Source organism: Homo sapiens, chromosome 10, assembly GCF_000001405.40.
Source record: "Homo sapiens chromosome 10, GRCh38.p14 Primary Assembly".
Classification (NCBI taxonomy): domain Eukaryota; kingdom Metazoa; phylum Chordata; class Mammalia; order Primates; family Hominidae; genus Homo; species Homo sapiens.
In genome coordinates this window covers 27309963-27337099 of record NC_000010.11, presented here as the reverse complement: position 1 = coordinate 27337099, position 27137 = coordinate 27309963, and the positions used below count along the sequence as shown (strand labels likewise).

Below are 27137 nucleotides of genomic sequence, written 5' to 3'. Positions count from 1 at the left end.
GGATAAACACTTGAGCACTCAATATACTTAGCTTTGTTAGTACATGTAAATGGTTAATTCTACACTGACACGCACATATTAAATTGGTTCTGTTCCTAATAATGAAGTTATCTCTTTGTTATTTTAGCACAGCCCTCATGCTTGCTGTATGTCATGGATCATTAGAGAGAGTCAGCATTCTTCTTCAGCAAGATATTGACATCTGTGCTGAAGATATGTGTGGAATGACTGCAGGAGGTTATGCTGTTGCTAGTAGATTTAATCCGTAAATGTTTACATTTAAAGGCTAGGTGAGATTTCATAGTTTGTTTCAGGTAATTTTTGAATGTCAGTGAGTTAGTTCACTTCATCAGCCAGAAACTAGGCAAAAAGCTAGACTAGTTGGAAGGAGTAATGGGCCAGGATTCTTTATTTTAGGACTTTCAACAGCTTTATCCCTAGGGATCCTAATGTTGTCTACTTGATTTGCAGTATATCCCCTATGCATGGGATAAACATAGTGTCACAATTTTGATTTTTCTAATTAGTTATTTGGGTCTTGAAATGTCCACTTTAGCAGAAAACCTGATAGTGTCCCTGGGGCTGTCTTCCATACCTTCATCCTTGAAATTTTAAAAGAATCTAAGGGGTTCCCTAAGTCCAAGGAAGACATTCCTTTTGTTTAAGTCAGAAAGACTGGAGGGGTGGGAAATGGCCATTCTCTTCATTTTGTTGTTTCCATTGATGCTGTTGCTGCATTGTTGCCGTTGAAACTACTCCTGCAGTCTGATAATGATTGACCTTTGCTACCAGGATGCTCTTACTAATACAGATCCCTCAGTCTTCATGGTGATCCACATGTAGACTTCAAAGTTATTTCATTTTTTTACAGTTCACATACATATTCTCAGCCATTGTTTCCGAAGTACCAGCACCCTGCTCTGGCAGCTAGGACATTTAGCTTTAGCCACACACATAGTAAACAAATTGACTCTTCTCCTCACACTCAAAACCTGATGTGAAACCCACATCTTAGCCTGGACTTGGCCTAGACCTTCATGGTAAGTTATCCTTTGAGTGGCTTCTTTCTATTTTCTCTAGCAAATATTAGTTTGAAACTGTAAGTCAGGTTGAAATAATGTTACAGGAAGAAATTAGAGATCCCTTTTTATTTTGTTACCACAACTACATCCCTGGACCTTTATAATCTGTGTAGCACCATTTTGTAGGTAGTGGAAGGTCTCATCTTATTCTGTAAGATCCCATGTCATCTTTCTCAAGTTATAGTGGGTTCCAACTCGTGCTCCTCCCCTCAAGTGATTCTTTTTTGCTAAAAGTAAAAATCTCCCATGCTACCTGCATCCCTACCTCGAGTTTTTAAAATATTTTCAAATTCTGCATCACCATGAAGCCATTCAATAGACTTCACAAAACCCCAAGTAAGTTGGTTAGATTTAACAGAGCTAAGCCTCATCCATGACTGATCAGTCTTCAGGTATAAAAGTAGGGATTCGTGCTGGCATCAGCTGTACATATAGTAAAATTGAAACAACTTCGAGAAGATCAGCATGGTCCCTGCACGAGGATGACACACAGATTTGTGAAGTGTTGCATATTTCTTGCAGTTTCCAAAAGGACATTTGACTACTTTCTAACTAGCTCCAAGGAAATGGTGTGAGTCAAAGCAAAATGGGTGTCACCCAGTATTGCAGTTGTGATTTTCATACAAGAAATATTGATGCAAGGTGATATATGAAATGAGATGTGGTAACACATAGGATCTTGTGTGCAATATGCTCTTAGTGCATCTCAGAAATGAGGAAATACCAACTTGCATCTTTGTGGAACTTACAAAAAATAAAGGTAGGGTTTTTTCTTCCACAGCAGCTGGAAATGAGCATAGTGACTAAGCATCATTCTAACAAAGATTTGTTGATTCAGAGTTTCAGGAGGTAGATAAAGAGTAGTAATAGTCCAAGCCAGATGCTGACATCTATTAGTTTTCTGCCCTTGGTGTGATTGATGAGCTCAGTAATAGAGGCTAATCAGGTTATCCAATTTAATGAATTAATATATTTATAAGTAAATTTCATTACAAATTATAAAATAGCTTAGATGCCTTGAATTACAAGCCACAAAGAATAGAACATCTAATAACCAAAAGTAGGAGTTAATAACAGAAAAGTGCAACATTTGAACATTATAACATATGAAGAAACACTTTTTTTTGTTCTTTTGTTTTTTGTAATTTATTTATGTTTTGCAGAGACAGGGTATCCCTATGTTGCCCAGGCTGGTCTTGAACTTCTGGGCTCAAGCAGTCCTCCTGTCTCAGCATCCCAAAGTGCTTATGTCACAGGCATGAGCCACTGCACCAGGCTAACACATTGGATTTTATTGAGAATTTAAAAATAGCTTCAGCAATAAGATTCAAGAACAAATTATTTCATTGCTTCACTATTTGAGCATTAAAAAATGTTATCTTGTTAAATCTTTATAATAACCTAGTGAAATAAGGCTCTAAAATTCTCATTTTTAGAAGACGTTGAGCCTAAGAGAAGCAACTTGTTCCAGAAAAAATACCTGTTGGTTACTGCGCTAGGACTTATTCTGAGTTAAGGACATTTTCCATTATGCCAAGCTAACTCTAGTGAATGTACGGAGTTACCCTGCCCTGAATTCATGAGTATTTCATCTACTTTCTTTCTTCTTTAATTAGCAGATTAATAAATTCATAGAGCTTACAAACTTAAAGTAATAGAATAAGTAATATTCTGATGTTAGCTCTGATATTGTCTGAAATACTCTAAGAACTTAATAAATTTGGTAAATGTTTTTATATCAGTGTTAAAATAATAGTTTTATTTATTACATTTTTATACATAGCATTCATCAACACCTTTTGGAATATAAACAAAAGATATCTAAAAATCCTCAAAATAGCAATCCAGGTAAGACTTCTGATAGTAAACTACTCTTGGTGGTGCTACCATAAGGTTATGGAAATGTTGATCATACAACAGCAATTAAAAAAGCAATGTGGAAATAGGATGTGTTTACATATATACATATGTGTGTGTGTACATATATATATAGCTTTGATTTAATTTTTTTAGTTTATTATTCAGAATTAGTTAAGAATTTAGTTGTACGTAGTTTATAATCTCAGAAATTATCCGAAAAAAATTTTCTTAATTATGTTCCCTAAAATTTTATATAATACTTTTGTATAAATAAGTAAAACAATTTTTAAGTTTGTATATTGTATGTTTCCTCAATTGTCATAACAACTTAGGTTTGTGATAAAATGTATAACACTTGGTGTGATTGATGAGCTTGGTAATAGGGGATAATCAGGTTATCCAATTTAATAAATTAATATTTATAAATAAATTTTATTACAAATTATAAAGTAGCTTAGATGCCCTGAATTACAAGCCACAAAGAATGGAACATCTAATAATGAAAAGTAGGAATTAATAACAAAAACTGCAACATTTCAGTATTATAACCTATGAAGAAATAATTATGTATGTATGTATGTATGTATGTATGTATGTATGTATTTATTTATTTAATTGTAGAGACAGGGTCTCCTTATGTTGCCTAGGCTGGTCTTGAACTTCTGGGCTCTATTTAATTTTTACAATAAATGGTTTACATTTAGTAAATGAGAATTAATTACAGTTGAGTCTTGAGTAACATGAGAGTTAGGGTGCCGATCCCCCAAGCAGCTGAAAATCTGCTTTATAGGAAAATCTGTTTCTTTTGACTCCTCCAAAACTCTACTAATAGTCTACTGTTGACCTGGAGCCTTACTGAAAGCATAAACAGTGAATTAACACATAGTTTCTATGTCATATGTACTATATACTGTATTCTTACAATAAAGTGAGCTGGAGAAAAGAAACTGTTTTAAGGAGGAAAAAATATATTCACTATTTATTAAATGGAAGTGAATTATTATTCATAAAGTTCTTCATTCTCATTGCCTTCATGTTGAGTAGGCTGATAAGGGAGAGGGAGAGGAGAGATTTGTCTTGCTATCTTGCAGCAGCAAAGGAAAAGATAAATCTGTCTATTAGTGGGTTCCTACAGTAAAACCCTTATTCAAGGATCAACTGTGTGACATAGTGACTTGTGTCACAGAAAAGTAAGTATCTTTAGAATTTGGAACTCAATAATACTTTTCTGACACCATAAACAAATGTCAACAAGAATTACAAAACTTAGCCAGGGTGCATCAGTACCAATAGGATATCATTTTTCAAAGATACCTACTGAGTGCAGAAGTGAGAAAAGCAAATCTTTGTTGAGAAGCGCAGGTTATGTTACACAGTCTTGTACCAAAAGATCTCACTATTTTCAACTTCATTCCCTCTAAGTTGAAACCAAATAAGATATATTTACTTCATTAGAACAAGATGTGTTGTTCTATCTGCTGGATAATTAGTGTGTTAATAGTAATTTTGTTACAAAAAGATACTCTGTTCCTGCTGGCCAAAATATTAACATTATAAGTATTCAAATAGCTTAACTCTAGGCTCAACAAATTATAATAAAAATACAAAAATTTTTCACAATAGCAAAAGTGTCACTGTGATACCTAAATGTGACACAATGCATTGTTCAATATGAACGGTATGAGCATATCTTTATTATATATTTATCAAAGAACTTCTATAAGTTAGGTTTTTGCAAGTTGCAGGAGACAAATATGGAATACACATATTCCATATGTCTTTAAGGTGCTCATAATACAGTAGAGCTGTCTCTACTGAATTTCTGCATTTTTCCAACAAAATTTTCTAAAAAAATGTTTTTTATTCATTTATCCACTTGTCCACTTAACAAATAAATGCCAAGCATCTTTAAGGTACTAAGCATTGTCCTTGTTATTATCATTGTCATTTTTTATTATTTACTACTTATTAAGGTACTAAGCATTTTTCTTGTTATTATTTTTTTCTAATATTTACTAATTTATTAATGTTCACTCTGTGCCAGAACCCCTTTGGGAGCTTATAATTATCACTTATTATGTCATTACCATATTCAGTATGTGTCAGACATTTTATATCCAAGGTGACAATTAAAGCCTTAACAAGTTTGGTAGTGTCCAGAAGTGGTGGCTCACTCCTGTAACCCTAGCATTTTGGAGGCCAAGGTGGACAGATTGCTTGAGCTCAGGAGTTTGGGACCAGCATGACTAACATGGTGAAACCCGTTTCTACTATATACGAAAAATTAGCCAGGCGTGTAGCGTGCGCCTGTGATGCCAGCTACTTGGGAGGCTGAGGTAGGAGAATCGCTTGAACCCGGGAGGCGGAGGTTGCAGTGAGCTGATATCGTGCCATTGCACTCTAGCGTGGGCGACAGAGCAAGACTCCATCTAAAAAAAATAAATAAATAAATAAATAAATAAATAGAAGAAGGAGAAAAGTTTGGTAGTATTTAAGGAAAGCATGCAGAATGAGTAGAAGTTTGCCAGATAAAGAGTCAGAAGGATGATATTTAGCAGAAGGAAAATTTAACCACGTTGTGTGTTTGGCAGAAGGAACATCTGAAGGAACGCCTGACGAGTCTGAACCCTTGGCGGAAAGAAGCCTGAGTAGGCTGAACACTTGGTGGAGGGAGCGCCTGATGAGGCTGCACGCTTGGCGAAAAGAACACCCAACGAGGCTACACCCTTCGTAGAGGGAACATCTGAGATTATCGCATATCCTAGAAAAGAAACATCTACAAAAGCAAATACAAATGGTAAGATGCGTGAGTGAATTTTGTAGGGTTTATTGGCACTTTGGGTTTCCAAGCGGAAATAGTGTGATATGGGAGTAGTTGGGAATGACTTGAATATGTAGATAAGGCAAGCTTAGGCAACACTTTTTAATAGTATAGGAACGAGTAGATCTTATTCTGTAGGCCCCGGAAAAATTCTTACAATAATTCTGGCTGTAAATACTAGATGAACAAACAATGGCTAAAAACATAGGAACCAAATTTGTTTTGGTGGTCCAGGGATATCATAGGATTCTGCTATTTTTTTTTTTTTTTTTTTTTTTTTGAGACAGAGTCTCTCACTGTCACCTGGGCTGGAGTGCAATGGTGCAATCTCAGCTCACTGCAACCTCTGTCTCCCGGGTTCACACAATTCTCCTGCTTCAGTCTCCCGAGGAGCTAGGATTACAGGCGCCCACCACCACCCTTGGCTAATATTTTATATTTTTACAGGGTTTCACTATGTTGGCCAGAGTCGAACTCCTGACCTTGTGATCCACCCACCTCGGCCTCCAAAAGTGCTGGGATTACAGGCGTGAGCCACTGTGCCTGGCCAGGATTCCACTTTTGGTGACTAATTAGCAACAGCTCCAATCATCATGCTCTCTCAAGACAATATTTGAAGGCTGGAAGGGCTGCTTTTGTTCACCTGTTTCTTTTAAATAGGGAGAAAACTTGTAAGCTTGCAGTAATCTTCCTGTAACATTTTATTGGCTGGATTATACCACATGCTCCTTTCAAAACCAGTCACTAGGAAACCAAATGTAATTACTGTGATTAGCTTAGAATAATTGGAGATGGGGTGGGGGTAATGGAATAATAAATATCTAAATAAACTTGTGTTTCTGCAGCAAGAAAGAATAAATAATGGCTATGCATAGGAAGTCAACAATGTTTTCTGCAGGGATTCATTGGAGAAGTTTGAGAAGGGGAGTCACAAGATTAGATTTGAGTATCAGGGCATTCTGGTCATGGTATAAAGCAGAGATTGGCAAACTTTTCCTGTAAAGCACCAGATAGGAAATATGGTAGGCCATGTGGTCTCTATCACAGCTATTCAACCCTGCATTGTAGGGTGAGAGCAGTCATAGATAACGTGTGAGCAAAGACCTGCATGATTGCACTGCAATAAAACTTTGTATAGAAAAATTTCATAAGCTGAATTTGGCCTGTGGCCTCCAGTTTGCTGGTCCGTCATATAGAAGATAGATGGAGAGTATCACATAAAAAGATTTAAAGACAGTCTTGGAGTGGTGGCTCACGCCTGAAATCCCAGCACTCTGGGGGCCGAGGCGGGCGGATCATGAGGTCAGGAGATCGAGAACATCCTGGCTAACACAGTGAAACCCCGTCTCTACTAAAAATACAAAAAAATTAGCTGGGCATGGTGGCGGGTATCTGTAGTCCCAGCTACTTGGGAGGCTGAGGCAGGAGAACGGCATGAACCCAGGAGGCAGAGTTTGCAGTGAGTCGAGATCGTGCCACTGCACTCCAGCCTGGGCCACAGAGTGAGGCTCTGTCTCAAAGAAAAAAAAAAAAGATTTAAAGACAAAGGAAGCTTTTGTAGTAGTTCATGCTATAGTCTTTTTTTTTTTTTTTTGTCACCAATCTGTGGCCTAGTATCAATCTATTATGAAAGTTTGACCCATCCAAGGTAAAATGAATCAAGTTCAGAAGTTCAATTTACACATTTAAACATGTAGGTCTTTCTTTGCCATTATTTTATTTTGATTTGTTTTACTGAATTTTTTAACTTAAAATATAACAATAGTATTTGGTAGGGTTTCCTTTTCCCTATAAAAGCCATCAGTTAAGGGGCCGTGTTTAACCAGGAAATAAAAATATAAAATAAATAAGTTTGTATTCCAGTGGCAATGGAAACATAAAGTAAAGGCAGAAAAGAGGTACAGTTAATATGGCTTAGTGATTATTGAATTTAAAAAGCTAGGGGACAGAGAAAATCTCAGGTCATTCATACGTTTCCAGATTGTGCATGAACATTTACAATGCTCATGGGGAAGGAGTAGGAAATTGTCAGGTCAGCAGCGAAGTGCAAACAGTCATGGGACAGACCAGCAGTTTTCTTTACATGTTGAGTTCAGTGAAACAATCATGTGGGATATTTTCAGTAGGTAATTGGATTATAGGCATTTCTAGCTGGAGATAGAAATCTGGTTGGAGATGCAGGCTTAGAATAATTTTATTATAATTATTAGGCAAAGTCATAGATCTCAATGAGCTTATCCATGATGCAGAAGATGTCTAATTTCTGGAAGAAAAACAATAAATTAAGATAAATCTATCCAGTATTTTAACTTTTCATTTTAATCAGTAACAGACCACCAGTAATTAATTTTATCCATGGAATAAGTGCAAGAACACAAGACTGAGAGTTGCTCTGGAAAGTTCTAAAGTCCACAATACCTTAAGTATATTCCACAATGTGAAAAGGAAGTAGAAAGAATGATACTTGCAGAGCTAGAAGTGAATCAGGGGAATCAGAAAGCTAGTTTTCCACCAATAAAAGAGAAACCATTTTCTGCACTGTTCATTTAAAATGGCAAAGTCATCCTTACAAATAAATATTTATAACACAATTTCAGATCAAGAAGAAGCACAAAAGTGAAACTGATTAAGAGCTTTTATATAATGTACTAAAAAAAAACACACACCTACAAAAAAAGAATAGCTTAACAAAACTCTGCAGGGCTTAAGGCTTGTATTTGTACTTCAATGGTGCATGTGAGTACCAGCATAAGATGCTTTCAAATACATTTAATCCAGATGGGAGATGGCTTTTTGAACCGTGGAATCCCTGCATTTGGGCACTAGAAAAGACCAAAAGGGTCATTTAGTTCAGAAGTTTCTAAACAGAGAAACAGTTCAGCAAAATGTTAATAGTAATGACTTAAACAAAACAACAAAACACTGCAGTCAACTATTTGGAAATTGGTGCATTAAATAAAATTAAGCCAATGTCTTCACCATAGCACTTCTCACAACTGGAATGACCTGGATCAGCCCTCTCACATTACAGATAAAAAAATTGAGGTTCACCTAGAAGAAAATATAGGCAATACCATTTAGGACATAGTCATGGGCAAAGACTTCATGAAAAAATTGCCAAAAGCAATTTCAACAAAAGCAAAAATTGACAAATGGGATCTAATTAAACAAAAGAGCTTCTGTGCAGCAAAAGAAGTCATCATTAGAGTGAAGAGACAACCTACAGAAGGAGAGAAAATTTTTGCAATCTTTCCATCTGACAAAGGTCTAATATCCAGAATCTATAAAGAACTTAAGAAATTTACAAGAAAAAAAACAAAACATCCCATTAAAAAGTGGGCAAAGGATATGAACCAACACTCCTCAAAAGAAGACACACATGCAGCCAACAAACATGAAAAAGAGCTCAACATCACTGATCATTAGAGAAATGCAAATCAAAACCACAAGGAGATACCATCTCATGCCAATCAGAATGCCTATTACTAAACAGTCAAAAAACAACAGATGCTGGCAAGGTTGTGGAGAAAAAGGAACACTTTTACACTGCTGGTGAAAGTGTCAATAGCTCAACCATTGTGGAAGGCAGTGTGGTGATTCCTTAAAGATCCAGAGGTAGAAATACCATTTGATCCAGGAATCCCATTACTGGGTATATACCCAGGGTGATATAAATCATTCCATTGTAAAGATACATAGATGTGTGCGTTCACCGCAGCACTCTTTACAATAGAAAGTCATGGAATCAACCTAAATACCTATCAATCATAGACTGAGTAAAGAAAATGTGGTATATACACACCATGCAATACTGTGCAGCCATAGAAAGGAATAACATATGTCCTTTACAGGGACATGGATAGAGCTGGAAGCCATTACCTTCAGCAAACTAACACAGGAACAGAAAACCAAACACTGCATCTTCTCATTTATAAGTTGGAGCTGACTGAGAACACATGGACACGCCAGGGGGAACAACACACACTGGGCACCTGTAGGGGGTTAAGGGGTAGGAGAGCATCAGCAAGAATAGCTAATGGATGCTGGGCTTAATAACTGGGTGATGGGCATGATGGCTCACGCCTGTAATCCTAGAACTTTGGGAGGCTGAGGTGGGCAGATCACTTGAGATCAGGAGTTAGATACCAGTCTGACAAACATGGTGAAACCCCATCTGTACTAAAAATTAAAAAAAAAAAAAAAAGGCAGGCGTGGTGGCACACGCCTGTAATCCCAGCTACTTGAGAGGCTGAGGCAGGAGAATTGCTTGAACCCAAGAGACGGAGGTTGCAGTGAGCTGAGATCGTGCCACTGCACTCCAGCTTGGGTAACAGAGCAAGGCTCCATCTCAAAAATAAATAAATAAATAAATAAATAAATAAATAAATAAATAAATAACTGGGTGATGGTGTGATCTGTGTGGTAAACTACCAAGGCACACGTTTAAACAAACCTGCACATACTGCACACATACCCCTGAACTTATAAGTTGAAAAGAAAAAGAAATTGTGCTTCAAGTTTGTCACAGGTGACCCTTAAAGTCCTCCTAATGGCTTGTATTACTTTGCCTCTTAGCCTACAGGAACTTGAAGAAGAAAGGAAATAACTAACCCAGCAAGCCAGAACCTGATGTTATAATAATTGTAATAGTTAACATGTTAAGCACTTTTCATATATTTCCTAATTTAATCTTACACCAACCCTATGATACTTTACTATTTATCTTAGAAATAGTTCCTGAGCAAACCAGCATTACCAAAAAAACCCCCAAACGACCAGAGAGTGTTAATCTTATCTAGCTTACAGGAAAGTCACAGAAATTCAACAATTGGTCCTATGTTCCTGTTTCTTTTTTCAATTAGTCAGATACCATACCCTGAACTTGTTTCAACGTCTCGCTTTATTTCCAGAATATTCCTTAATTGCTTCCTGATTTCTGCAGCACAAATAACACCCCCAAGGAATCTTGATTTACTCCCATTCTAGTAGTTGTACAACTTTGTTCTATGGCTATCTTGATATAATTATAATCTATTTATAGATTATATTATATACATTATATATTTGTCCTTCTTTTTATCCCTTTTGTTTGTTTATTTTTTGAGACAGGATCTCACTCTGTCACCCAGGCTGCAGTGCAGTGTCACAGCTTTGGCTCACTGCAACCTCTGCCTCCCAGACCCAAGCGATCCTCCCACTTTAGCCACCCAAATAGCTGGGTCCACAGGCACGCATCACCATGCTCGGCTAATTTTTGTAGAGCCAGGGTTTCGTCATGTTACGCAGGCTGGTCTTGAACTCCTAGGCTCAAGCGATCTGCCTGCCTCGGCCTCCCAAAGTGCTGGGATTATAGGCATGAGCCACTGTACCCGGCTTATTTGTCCTTTTATACTGACACATTGTACTGCTTCATTTTGCCAAAATGTCTTGCCAAAAGTGCACTGAATGAGTTCTCTAGTAATAATCCACAGAAATTTTTTATCTATGCTGCCCCAGTATTCTCAGTTCCATTCAAAGAATTAGGCTCTAGCTTTAGCACAGCAAGAAATCACATCAGCTAACCTATAAACATCATCTGATGACATACTCCTTTAGGTACATCTTGCTGAACTCCCAATGCACTATTTTAAAAATTAATGCACAATAATTTCCTTAGTAGGACAGCATTTCCATCAAATAATTCTATTTGCATAAGGGAAGTGGTGCTGTTGCTACTCTTACCTGCTGGCCCCCATATGGATGAGCCAGTGGAATGGATCCAAACACTGTCTTTTCGCCACTTACAAGCTGGATAAAATCGTCTGTTTCTGAGACAGATAAATCAAGGTCCAAAATATCTTCTAGAACTTCCTGAGGCAGGGAAAACAAATTTACAAACCGACGTCATCTTTCAGTTTTTGTTGTTTTTGTTGTTGTTGTTGTTGTTGTAGTTGTTTATTTTCTGAGACACAGGCTCACTCTGTCACCCAGACTGGAGTGCAGAGAAACAATCATGGCTCACTGCAGCCTTAAACTCCTGGGCTCAAGTGATACTCCCGCTTCGGCCTCCCAAAATGCTATGATTACAGTAGTGAGCTACTGCGCTCAGCCTAATAATTTTTAAGAATGCAGATTTAATGGCCGGGCGCGGTGGCTCACGCTTTTAATCCTAGTACTTTGGAAGGCCTAGGCGGGCAGATCACGAGGTCAGAAGACCGAGACCGTCCTGGCTAACACGGTGAAACCCAGTCTCTACTAAAAATACAAAAAAAAAAATTAGCCGGGAGTGTTGGCAGGTGCCTGTAGTCCCAGCTACTCCGGAGGCTGAGGCTGCAGGATGGCGTGAACCCTCGAGGCGGAGCTTGCAGTGAGTGGAGATCGTGCCACTGCATTCCAGCCTGGGCAACACAGCGAGACTCCGTCTCAAACAAACAAACAAAAGAAAGAATAGACAGTTAATGGAAGAAAATTCAAAAAATAAACCTCTTCTGAAAATATTAATATTTTTTCATAAGAGATGTACCATACATTCCATGATTATTTATGCTATTTAGGAAAAATTAGTTCTATTAGATAGTTCTAAAAATTTTATTAGTTTCTTATGATGCATGGTAAAATAATATTTTTCCTAGGACAAATTCATTTAAGGAACTAGAAAAAAGTAAACATCTTATTTTTAGCCCAAATTCATTTATATCATGAGAGAACAATGTAGAATTTGTTAGAGACCATTAGATAAAGGATATCTAAGATAACAATTTAATTCATTTTCCTCTTTTTCACAAAAGCATATTTTCCTTGTAAGACAATGTTAAGATGAAACTATCAGAGTGTGATTTCTAAGAATGACATCTCCAAGTATTTGAAATTTAAACACAGATAGTCATTTATAATTAGACTAATAATATTAACTCTAAAAATTATTTTAAACAAATGTTTTAGTGAGTTTAGTATTTGTGTTGTGAAAAAATAATGGCTAACCTTTGAAACTGCTACAAGAGGTACTCTTGATTTGAAAGGAGTTGGGAAGGCAATTGAAAAAAGTTTTCCCTTTAAGAACATAAAATTTTCTTTCACAGGATCAACAGGCAACATAGCTGATAAAACAAAACAGCCTTCTTAATGTTCTCATTTGTTGCATATACAGCACTAACATCCCTTAGAAAGGCTATGGTTCTTCCAGAAACTCAAGTCACTATTTTCTTCATGCTTTGTTATTTAAAGGCTACTTTGCCATTTCAACACGATCTAGCCAACATTCATTTAGGACAGTACATGGAACTGTTCAAGAGGTTAGGAAATGGAAAAAGTTTAAAACAGGAAGACACATACCCTGTCTTCAAAGATCTTCACTCATGGAAGGCAAATTAAATTGCAACATATTTATAAATAAAAATACATATTTTTAAATGGAGGTGAGCTGCATTACAGAATTACAAGTATAGTACTAGTTAATTCAATGGAACCAAAATCCATTAGGCACATAATCACATGCGTTCTGCCCTTTGGAAACACAATTAGCTAAAGGAAACAGATATACAAGAGACATAAATAACTTTAAGACCAGGCAATACATGGCTTACTAGCTGCACAAAACTGCTGTAGATCCCACATTTGATAGATGCCCCACCGCAAAGCTAAAAGTTTAGAAATTGCCTCTGCAGAGACAAACTATGTCTCATAATGTCCATACACTAAAACACATGTACCGCATTTTAAAAGCTGTAGAGGAAAAGAAAGCTTTGACCACGTTTTAGATTCTCAGAACATATTTAGTCTTATTTTATATACAATATCTAAACTCTTAATCTGTTTTTCCAATCCAAAGCAATTAAAACAATAACCAAATAGAAGAGGGTAGGTGTATTAATACAACTATAAGACTAAGGGACAAAAAAGCCCTGTTTCTGGATAGAGATTTATTGTTAAAATGTGTCACCAAATTATTTAATAAACATAATAGGAATCAAATTAACATCCTAACAGGATTTTTTTGAAGAAATAGACAATCTTAATGTGCAAATCTGCAAAAATGAACAGATAACATTTTTTTAAGTAAGAGAAACAAGTTTGCTTATATTAAAAATTATAAGACTGCAGTAACTAAAAATATTGCTATCCTAAAAATAGATGCAATAGACGCAAAGATCAATGGAGCTCAATAAAAAGCACAGAAACAACCCGAAGCTATAAAGAATTTCCTATATAGTGAAAATGACATTTCAAATCAGTGGAGAAAGGTAGCATTATGACAATTTGCTCCACTGTCTGGAGTAACGCCAATTTATTCCATCCAGGCTTAAGTGAACTAAATATCAGTTACAACAGCAATTTTCTATCTTCCTCAAATGAGTAATAAAAACAGGCTAATATGGGCCATATGGCCACATTTAGCCCTTTATATGTTCCCTTAAGACCATGATGTATTATAAGGTAGCATCCTGGGGGAATAAATGTGTACTCAATCAAAAAATGGCAGATTTTAACATTCATACCAGAAAACCAGACAATATGATTATAAGTGGAAGATCAACAGTATGTTTTCTTCTTTTGTAGGAGAGCCTCTGTGTGGAATTAACTAGATTATATAATTAACGCAATATCCTTTATAATGTTCTAACATTGGTATGGCAGGGGCAGCATATCACGTTCCATTAGTGGTTATCATTTTGTACCACTTGATGCATATTCTGGCAAGATAGCTGCTTGGGCAATACGTGTGTTCACCAGCCATGGAACAAAAAAGGCTATTTCAGGCATATTCAACCCTCACCTATGTGATGCTTTAACAAGCTAAGAAGTCATTGACTAAAAACCCCAGAGAAATCTCAGGAAGATCAGTACTGGCAACATTAAATTCTTTAGAATTCAGTTTTGCATAAGACTATGAAATCCACAAAAACTTCTAACCTTTCACTGCAAATGTTTGAACCTATTCTCTCAATAAATGTTCTTACCAGAGTAAGATAATTCGGATAATTTATTGATCATTTATCTAGTAACGTCAGGATGAGACGTTTTACACAGTACTGTGAACCAAGACGCAGTAATGCATAGGATTATTTATTTATTTATTTGGAGACAGACAGTGCCTCACTCTTTCATCCAGGCTGGACTGCAGTGGCACGATCACAACTCACTGCAGCCTCGAACTCTCGAACTTCTGGGCTCAAGCAACCTTCCCCGCCTCAGCCTCCTGAGTAGCTAGGGCTACAGGTACACACCACCACACCTGGCTAATTTTATTTTGTAGAGACAGGGTCTTGCTTATGTTGCCTAGGCTGGTCTCGACATCCTGGCCTCAAGCGATCCTCCCACCTCGGTCTCCCAAGGTTCTTGGATTACAGGTATGACCCACTGTGCCTGGCCTGGTATTATATTTACAATTTCTTTGGCTATAAAACCTGGTACTATTGTAGATATTATGTTTTAAATACTACCATCAATACGGCAAGAAAATGTCTTCGAGGGTAGCTAACACTCCAACATCAAAACGACAACCTTGATCACTTTCAGTTACACATAGGCCATTTTTATACATCTGTACTGGCTCTTTTCATTTGTCTAAGGGCAGCAAAATAGACTAAAGTTGTTTTCAGACTGCATAAGAGAAGTCTGTTCTTTAGCAGTTACCTGCACAATTCACATAATGTTTTTAACTTCCTCAACTCATGCTTGGCCTAGTTGTGTCAAAAGAACTACTTGTGAATTCCATATGTCCAATTGGTAGGTTACTGTTTTTTCTCAAGAGTTTAGCTATACAGTAATGTTGAAAGTCTTGAGGAACTTCATCTGCTGACCCTACTTAGCCTTGCAATACTACAGCACCTTTTTATTTATTTATTTATTAAAGACAGAATCTCGTTTTGTCACCTAGACTAGAGTGCAGTGGCGCAATCTCGGCTCACTGCAACCTCTGCCTCCTGGGTTCAAGCAATTCTCTTGCTTCAGCTTCCCAAATAGCTGGGAATACAGACATGCACCACCATGCCCAGCTAATTTTTGTATTTTTGGTAGAGGTTTAGTAGAGGTTTCACCATGTTGGCCAGGCTTGTCTGGAACTCCTGACCTAAAGTGATCCACCCCTCTCGGCCTCCCAAAGTGCTGGGATAACAGGCGTGAGCCACCCCACCTGGCCTACAGCATCATTTTAAAAGCAACATTTTCTGTTTTAATGTGGCCAAGCAATCTCTATATGAAAATGGCCTGACAAAATTGTGTAGTGCCATACTTGCCAACTGTGTGAGCTTGAGTGTGATACTTATTTGACAATATGGTATTTCCTCTATGTGTTTCCTTATCTTTAAAAAATAAAAAAAGGACAAATGATAATGTCTTAGTCATAGGATTGTCAAGTACAATCTGAGTGCTTATTGCTACACTCTACTTGGCAAATTATACCTGTTGGATGTTTCTTAACATATAAACCTAATCTAAACCAGGTAAGCTACAGGTACTTATTAACAATCTTTGCTTGTAAAGCACTTTGCATATTTTTACATACTATTCTTCAAGATGCAAAAAACACCATCAAACTGGCTTATTTTCTCAGATGTCTTTACATGGTCTATGATGTCTTCATTCCATAAAAAAACCCACACGATTAAATATGAAATTAATGTACCCAGCTATGAGGCTATCGCATTCTTTAATGCAAGAAGAATAAGAAAATACATGAATCAGAGAACTGCAGTTACGTACTTGCTGGTCTGTTTCCTCATTAGAGTGAATTTTTTGAGGACTAAATTGCATTTCTGTATCTCTAATGCTTACCCATTATCTCACTGGCTCTGTGTGTTTGAGTGCATGCGCTGAGTCCTTAATTATATCACTTATTTTCTGTTAGAAACACGCTGTCTCTCAGCACCGGAACAGCACCCGTAGATCTGGCCTTGGAGCTAAGGAAAGAAGGTCTCTCTAACCCATAAGGGGTACCAATCCTGTACAGACCCCGATATCTCCCGGGCTGGGTACACGCAGGTTCACACCCAGGTGTGAGCGAGATTGCCAAACTATACCTATAAGGCATTCAGAGGAGAGAGTCCAAAAGTCGAGAGAACGGACTAATTTAGCTAATTTCACAATAGCCCTGATCGTGGTCGGACTTGTTCCTAGGAAGATGCGAGAGGCTGGCCCTTCCTTCAAGAGCAGATTGCAAAAGGCAGCAGACCAAGTCAAGGCAGGTCACTGCCAAGAGAAGCAGAAGCGGAAACCATCGCCTCTGGCTTAGGCTGCAGAGCGGGAACCCGATTCTCTGAGTCATGTTTCTACCTAAACACGGAGAACAAAAGAGTTAGTGACTGTAAGGGTGGCGCGCCGTGCTATTTCTTGCTACTGAATGGTCCCCACTGGGACATTTTTGCTATGATTGCAGGCGTGGCCAGTGCCCCTGCACGGATTCCGGGAAGGGGTGGGGATAGGAGGTTCGCCCCGGGGAAGGTCACGCTCGGCGGACCCCGGGCTGGGCCTCCCCTCGCCCCTGCCCCGCCGCCTCCCCAGAGCGGCCGCTGTCCCCGCTGGCTGCGGACGGGCGGGCGCCAGAGGTCCCCAGTGCTGGCAGCCTGGTCGCACGCGGGGAAGAGCGAACCGCGGCCCTGGGCGCGGCCGAAGCGCCACTACTGTCTCCTCAAACTATATCTTTTCTTCAAATAAGGAGGAAATTCTTTCGCAAGACAAATAATGAGAAAAACACACTCAAAAATCACATTGAATCAGTGTTTGAAAGGAAGACAGAAAATACTCAGTTTGACTAAACTGTGTATAAAATACCACCTTGTTTAGTTATTTTAGGCAATACCAAACCTTTGTTTTAACCAATTAAAAAAAATCTTGGCCCAGTATGGTGGCTCTCGCCTGTAATCCCAGCACTTTGGGAGGCCAAGGTGGCTGGATCTCTTGAGCCCAGGAGTTTGAGACCAGCCTGGGTAATGTGGCAAAACCCTGTTTCTACAAAACAAAATTCAAAACTAAGCCAAGTGTGGTGACATGCACCAGTAGTCCTAGCTACTCAGGAGGCTGAAGTGGGAGGATCCCTTGAGCCTAGGAGGCGGAGGTTGCAGTGAGCCGCTGGACTCCAGCCTGGGCGACAGAGCCAGACCTTGTCTCAAAAGAAAAAATATATATATTGGCTGGGCACATGGTTCATGCCTGTAATCTCAGTACTTTGGGAGGCAAAGAGGGGAGGATCGCTGGATCCCAGGAGTTTGAGACCAGGCTGGGCAGCGTAGCAGGACCTCATCTCTAAAAAAACAATAATAATAAAATAGCCAGGCACGGTGGTGCACACCTGTTTTCTTTTCCTTTGCAGCACTTATCTCCTAATATTCGATATAACTTATTTGTTTTGTTAATTTGTCTCTCCTACTAGACGTAAGCATCTTGCGGCCACAATTATTTTTCCTGGTTTTTTTTTGTTGTTGTTGTTGTTTCCATTGCTGTGCCCTTAGCACTTAGAACAGTGTCTGGCACACAATGAGCACCTAAGTACTCAATAAATATTTAATAAATATTTGTTGAATGCATGAACTCTGCAGGGAAAAACAGGTACAAACCTGATAGAGACAAGGGTGGGAGCAAGATGGCTTAATGAATATCATTTTATATCACTTTGATTTTGAACTATATAACTGTATTACCAATATATTTTTAAATTAAGGAAACCATAGATGGAATGTAAAATTTTTATCTTTATTGAAACAATATTTTTGCTACCGGGGTTAATAAAATCACTATATACCTTGACTTCCATCTGGAATCTTGTTGTACTGAAAACAGGGTCAATTTTAGATTGGAGGAGTTGGGGGAGAGGAAGGGTAGGAAGAGAAATATATTTTGTCTTCCAGCAAATACATTAGAGACACAGAAATGTTTAAAATGTTGTCCCTGGCTTCCAGGAGCTCAATGACTAGTAGTTGGATCAATCAGTATTTAACGTTCAATATAATACTAATGTACTCAGAATATTATTCTTGCTTATTCATATATATACATATGATATTTCAATTTAAGCAATTATAAACATTGCAAATTTTTCTATTTATTCTTTATTGCTGCATTAAAAAAAAAGCAACCATGTTCCTTTTTCTCTTCAGTCGAAATTCAGAATAAGAGACCACGCAGTAGATAGACAGAGATTAAAATATCAGCTTACTACGGATAAAAGCTAGCCTGGAGAATATGGCTCAGGCGGTAGATAAAGAGGCATGATGATATGTTACATGCAAATGAATATCAATCAACTGTTGGAGCAAAATAAAAACTGTACTAACAGTTATGCAAAGATTCAGAGAATATATCACCTATCCATCCTGTTTGGGCAAAACACTTAAGAAAATAATCAAGACAGGGACTTGAAGATGGAACCATGAAAAAAGGGTGGTGGTGAGCAGAGAAATGGGGGAGTGTCAAAGGCAAAGACACTTTAAACAGAACAGATACACTTCAAGGGAAAAACTAATAATCTGAAGTTCAAAATATTAAACTATCTCAGCAAAATCTAGCAGCTACGTAACTAGATGCAAAACATAAAAACATTCTAAAGGTCTCATCTATTGGGATGAAGGGGAAAGCAATGGACAAATAGAATCTTAGTGAGGAAAAAATCGAAAAACTTGTTTTCCCATGAAAGTGGCAAATAAAGAAGATAACTATGAATGGAATTGTAGAATTGTTTTTCAGTCAAGTTTCCAAATCAACAGCAGTGTGGGGTATCGGGGAAAAGAGTGGATTTCAAATCAGAAAAAGATAAGAAAGTCTAGGGGAGGCCAACAGTAAAATAAAGATGAAGCACAATGTAAGACAGAAGGAATAAATCACATATATCAATTGTTATAATAAATGTGATCAGTCTGCGTACTTCTATTAGGACGGAAACTATCACATTAATCAGAATATGTTTATACCATGTTTGTTTTTATAAGAAGAACACTTTAAAACAAATAAAGATAGGTAGATAAAGGTAAAAAAAAGGTGAGAACAAAGCAAACTCAACAAAAAGAAAGCACGAATGGCAATATTAATGTCAGGTGAATTGAAATCAATAGTTATAAGTATAAATCAGAATAAATAGAATCATTGTTAAGATAAAAGCTATTTTTTGAAGAAAATATAAGTAAAAAATCTGTATGTACAATAATACACAGTAAAATGTGTACATTTTAAACAATTAAAAAAAAAACTTGGATAAAAATATAATTAAAGTAGGAGCTTTTAATACACATCTCTTAAGAACCTAACTTATCTCTGTAATCCCAGCATTTTGGGAGGCCAAGGCAGGCAGATCACCTGAGGTCAGGGGTTTGAGACCAGCCTGGCCCACATGGTGAAACCCCGTCTTACCAAAAGTACAAAAAAATTAGCTGGGCATGGTGGCAGGTGCCTGTAATCCCAGCTACTCGGGAGGCTGAGGCAGGAGAATAGCTTGAACCTGGGAGGCGGAGACTGCAGTGAGTAGAGATTGCACCACTGCACTCCAGGCTGGGTGACAGAGCGAGACTCCGTCTCAAAAAAAAAAAAAAAAAAAAAAAATTGTTTTACTTATTTATACAAAAGTATTATATAAAATTTTAGGGACCATAATTAAAAACATATTTTTTCAGATAATATTTTCTGAGATTATAAACTACCTATAACTAATTCTGAATTATAAACTAAAAAATTGAATCAAAGCTATATATATATATGTACACACACACATATGTATATATGTAAACACATCCTATTTCCACATTGCTTTTTTAATTGCTATTGTATGATCAACATTTCCATAACCTTATGGTAGCACCACCAAGAGTAGTTTACTATCAGAAGTCTTACCTGGATTGCTATTTTGAGGATTTTTAGATATCTTTTGTTTATATTCCAAAAGACATTGATGAATGCTATGTATAAAAATGTAATAAATAAAATTACTATTTTAACATTTACCAAATTTTCCAAATTTATTAAGTTCTTAGACTATTTCAGACAATATCAGAGCTAACAGCAGAACATTACTTATTCCAGAGACTTTAAGTTTGTAAGCTCTAGGAACTTATTAAGCTGCTAATAAAAGAAGAAAGAAAGTAAGATGAAATACTCATGAATTGAGGTCAGCATAATTCCGTAAATTAACTAGAGTTAGCTTGGCATAATGGAAAATGTCCTTAATTCAGAATAAGTCCTAGTGTGGTAACCAACAGGTATTTTTTCTTGAACAAGTTGCTTGTTAGGCTCAACGTCTTCTAAAAATGAGAATTTTAGAGCCTGATTTCACTAGCTTATTATAAAGATTCAACATGATAATGTTTTTAAAATGCTCGAATAAATAGTGAAGCAATGAAATACCTTGTTGTTCAACCTTATTGCTGAAACTATTTTAAAATTCCCAATAAAATCCAATGTTTTGGCCTGGTGCAGTGGCTCATGCCTGTGATGCAAGCACTTTAGGATGCTGAGACAGGATGACAACTTGAGCCCAGAAATTCAAGACCAGCCTGGGCAACATAGGGATACCCTGTCTCTACAAAACATAAATAAATTTCAAAAAAAAGTTTCTTCGTAGGTTATAATGTTCAAAAGTTGCACTTTTCTGTTATTAACTCCTACTTTTGGTTATTAGATGTTCTATTCTTTGTGGCTTGTAATTCAAGGCATCTAAGCTATTTTATAATTTGTAATGAAATTTATTTATAAATATATGAATTCATTAAATTGGATAACCTGATTAGCCTCTATTACTGAGCTCATCAATCACACCAAGGGCAGAAAACTAATAGATGTCAGCATCTGGCTTGGACTATTACTACTCTTTATCTACCTCCTGAAACTCTGAATCAACAAATCTTTGTTAGAATGATGCTTAGTCACTATGCTCATTTCCAGCTGCTGTGGAAGAAAAAACGCTACCTTTATTTTTTGTAAGTTCCACAAGGAAGATGCAAGTTGGTATTTCCTCATTTCTGAGATGCACTAACAGCATATTGCACACAAGATCCTATGTGTTACCACATCTCATTTCATATATCACCTTGCATCAATATTTCTTGTATGAAAATCACAACTGCAATACTGGGTGACAACCATTTTGCTTTGACTCACACCATTTCCTTGGAGCTAGTTAGAAAGTAGTCACATGCCCTTTTGGAAACTGCAAGAAATATACAACACTTCACAGATCTGTGTGTCATCCTCGTGCAGGGGCCATGCTGATCTTCTCAAAGTTGTTTCAATTTTACTATATGTACTGCTGATGCCAGCATGAATCCCTACTTTTATACCTGAAGACTGATCAGTGATGGATGAGGCTTAGCTCTGTTAAATCTAACCAACTTACCTGGGGTTTTGTGAAGTCTATTGAATGGCTTCATGGTGATGCAGAATTTGAAAATATTTTAAAAACTTGAGGTAGAGATGCAGGTAGCATGGGAGATTTTTACTTTTAGGAAAAAAAGAATCACTTGAGGGGACAAGCACAAGTTGGAACCCACTGTAACTTGAGAAAGATGACATGGGATCTTCCAGAATAAGATGAGACCTTCCACTACCTACAAAATGGTGCTATACAGATTATAAAGGTCCAGGGATATAGATGTGGTAACAAAATAAAAAGGATCTCTAATTTCTTCCTGTAATTATTTCAACCTGACTTACAGTTTCCAACTATCACAACTAATATTTGCTAGAGAAAACAGAAAAAAGCCACTCAAAGGATAACTTACCATGAAGGTCTAGGCCAAGTCCAGGCTAAGATGTGGGTTTCACATCAGGTTTTGAGTGGGAGGAGAAGGGTCAATTTGCTTACTATGTGTGTGGCTAAAGCTAAACGTCCTAGCTGCCAGAGCAGGGTGCTGGTACTTTGGAAACAATGGCTGAGAATATGTATGTGAACTTTAAAAAAATGAAATAACTTTGAAGTCTACATATGGATCACCATGAAGACTGAGGGATCTGTATTAGTAAGAGCATCCTGGTGGCAAAGGTCAATCATTACCAGACTGCAAGAGTAGTTTCAATGGCACCAATGCAGCAACAGAATCAATGGAAACAACAAAATGAAGAGAACGGGCATTTCCCACCCGCCCCCAATCCTTCTGACTTAAACAAAAGGAATGTCTTCCTTGGACTTAGGGAACCCCTTAGATTCTTTTTAAAAATTCAAGGATGAAGGTATGGAAGACAGCCCCCAGGGACACTATCAGGTTTTCTGCTGAAGTGGACATTTCAAGACCCAAATAACTAATTAGAAAAATCAAAATTGTGACACTATGTTTATCCCATGGATGGGGGTTATACTGCAAATCAAGTAGACAACATTAGGATCCCTAGGGATAAAGTTGTTGGAAGTCCTAAAATAAAGAATCCTGGACCCATTACTCCTTCCGACTAGTTTAGCTTTTTGCCTAGTTTCTGGCTGATGAAGTGAACTAACTCACTGACATTCAAAAATTACCTGAAACAAACTATGAAATCTCACCTACCCTTTAAATATAAACACTAATGGATTAAATCTACTAGCAACAGCATAACCTCCTGCAGTCATTCCACACATATCTTCAGCACAGATGTCAATATTTTGCTGAAGAAGAATGCCGACTATCTCTGATGATCCATGACATACGGCAAGCATGAGGGCTGTGCTAAAATAACAAAGATATAACTTCATTATTAGGAACAGAACCAATTTAATATGTGCCTGTCAGTGTAGAATTAACCATTTACGTGTACTAATAAACATAAGTATGTTGAGTGCTCAAGTGTTTATCCTTGTAAATCACCACCAAGGCTGAAAGGAAGGGGCAGAAAGACTCACGTCCCACTGGGATATGGCATACTAGAAGTGGCTAACATAAAGTCCTTTGAAGGGCAAGAAAATATGCTCTGTTCACGAATCTTAAAGACGCAAAGATTTAAGTGAAGAATTCTCTATTTCTTCCTTAGTCTGATAAAATATTTTGTTCTTCAAAATCAGCTAGAAGTCAGACAAATGAGAGCCATCTGAAGGCTTAAAACAATATTAGGAGTAATGATATTAGTAGTAGTCATAGCAAGTTCAGTTAATGATGCTAATGAGAATGTATGAGACACTGAATTAAATGCTGCTAATATTCATAATGTTATTCCCACAAAACTGTCCTTAAAGGACATATTATTATTCTCCTTTTTGTATAGAAAATCATACTTGGTGTTAAGTAATGTTTGCAAAGTCACACCTGCGAAGTGAGGAAGCTAGAAATTAAACCCAGTCTTGTGTGAATCAAAAGCCTATCTGTTTTCTCTTTATTGCTCACCTATGGCTTACCTTTTTTTTTGTTTGTCTTTCGAGATGGAGTTTCGCTCTTATTGCACAAGCTGGAGTGCAGTGGCACAGTCTTGGCTCACTGCAACCTCTGCCTCCTGGGGTTCAAGCTTTAGCAACCTGAGTAGCTGGGATTACAGGCGCCTGCAGCCACACCTTGCTAAATTTTTGTATTTTTAGTAGAAATGGGGCTTCACCATGTTAGCCAGGCTGGTCTCTAACTCCTGACCTCAGCCAATCCCACCACCTTGGCCTCCCAAAGTGCTGGGATTACAGGCGTGAGCCACTTCGCAGGCGGGCTTATCTAATGAACTAAAATGTTAATCCAATTAAAGATGTCTTTCTTCCCTCTACCTATACAAATTAAAAATAAAAATACACTATGAATTAAAAAAAGATAAATTCACAGTATCTGGTGACAGCAATTAATAGTCACGTAGGGATAACCTAAAATTAATATTCTTCAAAGAAAACAACTTAAAGCAAACTGTCGTCCTAAAGACAAAATGATTTTAAACAAAATGATTTTAAAATGATTTTTAAAATTTATATATATTTATATATATATAAATATATAAATATATAATATATATAATATAATATATAAATATATAAAATATAATATATAAATATGTAAAATAATATATTTTATATAAATATACAATATATAATTATATATTTATTATATATATCATATTAAATATTATATATTTATATATATTATATATTGGCCAGGATATATATATTATATATAAATATATAACATAGATATATATATTATATATAAATATATAACATATTTATATATATAAATATATAACATATATAAACATTAGTGGCTCACGCCTGTAATCTCAGCACTTTGGGAGGCCACAGCGGGCGGATCACGAGGTTAGGAGATCGAGAACATCCTGGCCAACATGTTGAAACCCCATCTCTACTAAAAATACAAAAAATTAGCGGGGCGTGGTGGCACATGCCTGTAGTCCCAGCTATGCGGGAGGCTAAGGCAGAGGAATCGCTTGAACCTGGGAGGTGGAGACTGCAGTGAGCCGAGACTGGGCCACTGCACTCCAGCCTGGCGACAGAGCAAGACTCCGTCTTAAAAAAAAAAAATTAACTAGACTACAAAATAGTGGATTGTTGGCAAACTATCAAGTTTTTTTGTTGTTGTTTTGTTTTGCTTTTTTGTGACGGAGTCTCGCTCTGTCCCCCAGGCTGGAGCGCAGTGGCGCAATCTCGGCTCACCGCAAGCTCCGCCTCCCGGGTTCACGCCATTCTCCTGCCTCAGCCTCCCGAGTAGCTGGGACTACAGGCGCCCGCCAGGACGCCCGGCTAATTTTTTGTATTTTTTAGTAGAGACAGGGTTTCACCCTGTTAGCCAGGATGGTCTCGATCTCCTGACCTCGTGATCCACCCGCGTCGGCATCCCAAAGTGCTGGGATTACAGGCGTGAGCCACTGCGCCCGGCCAACTATCAAGTTTTTATCAGGGAATTTAGACAAGTCTATTGGGTCACAGAAGAAGGTTTATAAATTGGAGGACTGAAAGTGGATTTTGAGTTCATGGTCAGTCTAGTAACTCATCCTTGCTTTTAGATGCCGTGGCTTAAAGACCTCAGCTCTTGAGGATATATTATCACACTGGCTTCAGAAAAGGGTTGAGGAGCTCCCCTTTCAAAGAACTGGCCTACACCAGTGCTTTTCTGTTCAGCTTTTCTGGTGATTACTTAAAGATTAAGGGATAAAGGATGCTATTTAGTGTCCTTGCCTCTCCTGGTCCAATTTCAAAGAATTCTAAAGCCAGAGTCCAAGAGTCAGTGCTACCTCAAAAGGAAGGGAAGGTTACTCAGTGTCCGGGTACCAGATGCAGTGAAAGAGGTGTGCCTCATGGCCAGGAAACTCAGGTCAGCGTCCTGGAAGGGATGGTTCACACTCAGAGCTGGAGTCAAAGCAGAATCCACTGGGCCGTCAAACAAATGCCCAGCACTTGTTTCTGGGCCCATTTAACTCTCACTAGCATGCTTATGTTTTCATGTGCTTCTAGAAGTGTCATTGGACAGGATGATTTTGGCCCAGGTCAGTGCTCCTGTTTGAGACAAGAACTTCTTTGCATGGTTAAAGCTACTCATAGATTCTCACTGATCTCATTGCCTTGAAATAACTAAAGATAAGCTTAATTCAATATATTTTTTATACCGAGTATCTCTTATGTGCCAAATGTTACTCATGGTATTACAGAAGATTCTAAAAATAATAAGGTACATTGTAGAGAAATAAGTTCTAGAGCGTTTCTGTTCAAACCAGTAGCCACTTGCCTATGTGTATCTATTGAACACTTAATATGTGGTTAGTCCAAATTAAGATGTACCTTAACTATATAATGTACAATGGATTTCAAAGACTTAGTATGAAAAATATGTAATATTTCATTAATAATTTTACATTGGCTATACATTGAAATCATTCTATTTTAGATAAAATTAAAATATTACTAAACTTGTTATCCCTACATTTTTTACCTTTTCAAATATGGCTACTAGAAAATTTTAAATGACATAAGTCACTCACATTATGTTTCTATTGGATACCATTGCTCTAGAGGGAAAAGACTGTCATAAATTTTTAGGTGGGATTACAAACTAGATTGTGCAAAATGCTATAACTGAGACTTTTTTAATGCACTAGAAGAGTAGGAAGAAGTTCTTAAGTCATGGACAGGAAAAGAAGGGATTTGCTCTGTGCTCTAAAGCATGGGTAAATCTGAATATTACACAAGTATAAAAACTCTGAAAACTTAAATAATTTATCTCAATCTTCCTTACACACAGCACCTGCTGCCCTGCACTAAACTTTTCTCCTGCCAATACATCATACAATTTTCTCCTATGATTTGGAAAATTCTATTGCTGATTAAATTTTATTGTTATTATTTCAAGGGATCATATGTCTTATGGTTTTATTTTTAAAACTTTTTTCAATAATATTGTCACCAATACCAATATGGTTATCACACTGTTTCATCATCATTAGTTTTTTTTGTTTGTCTTTTTGAGACACAACCTAGCTCTGTCTCCTAGGCTGGAGTGCAGTGTCAGGATCTTGGCCCACTGCAACCTCCA

General features: G+C 37.4%; 3 pseudogenes across 1 annotated transcript in view; 1 reads left to right on the top strand and 2 right to left on the bottom strand.

Moving 5' to 3' along the window:
• Positions 1493-1599, top strand: RNU6-452P (RNA, U6 small nuclear 452, pseudogene; annotated as a pseudogene).
• Positions 2045-27137, bottom strand: part of ODAD2P1 (outer dynein arm docking complex subunit 2 pseudogene 1) — a 76294-nt pseudogene continuing 51201 nt past the window's right edge. The window contains exon 5 of the transcript NR_138082.1: positions 2045-5371. The product of NR_138082.1 is annotated as an outer dynein arm docking complex subunit 2 pseudogene 1 (transcript). The remainder of the gene's footprint in view (positions 5372-27137) is intronic.
• On the bottom strand, positions 21874-21980 carry RNU6-666P (RNA, U6 small nuclear 666, pseudogene; annotated as a pseudogene).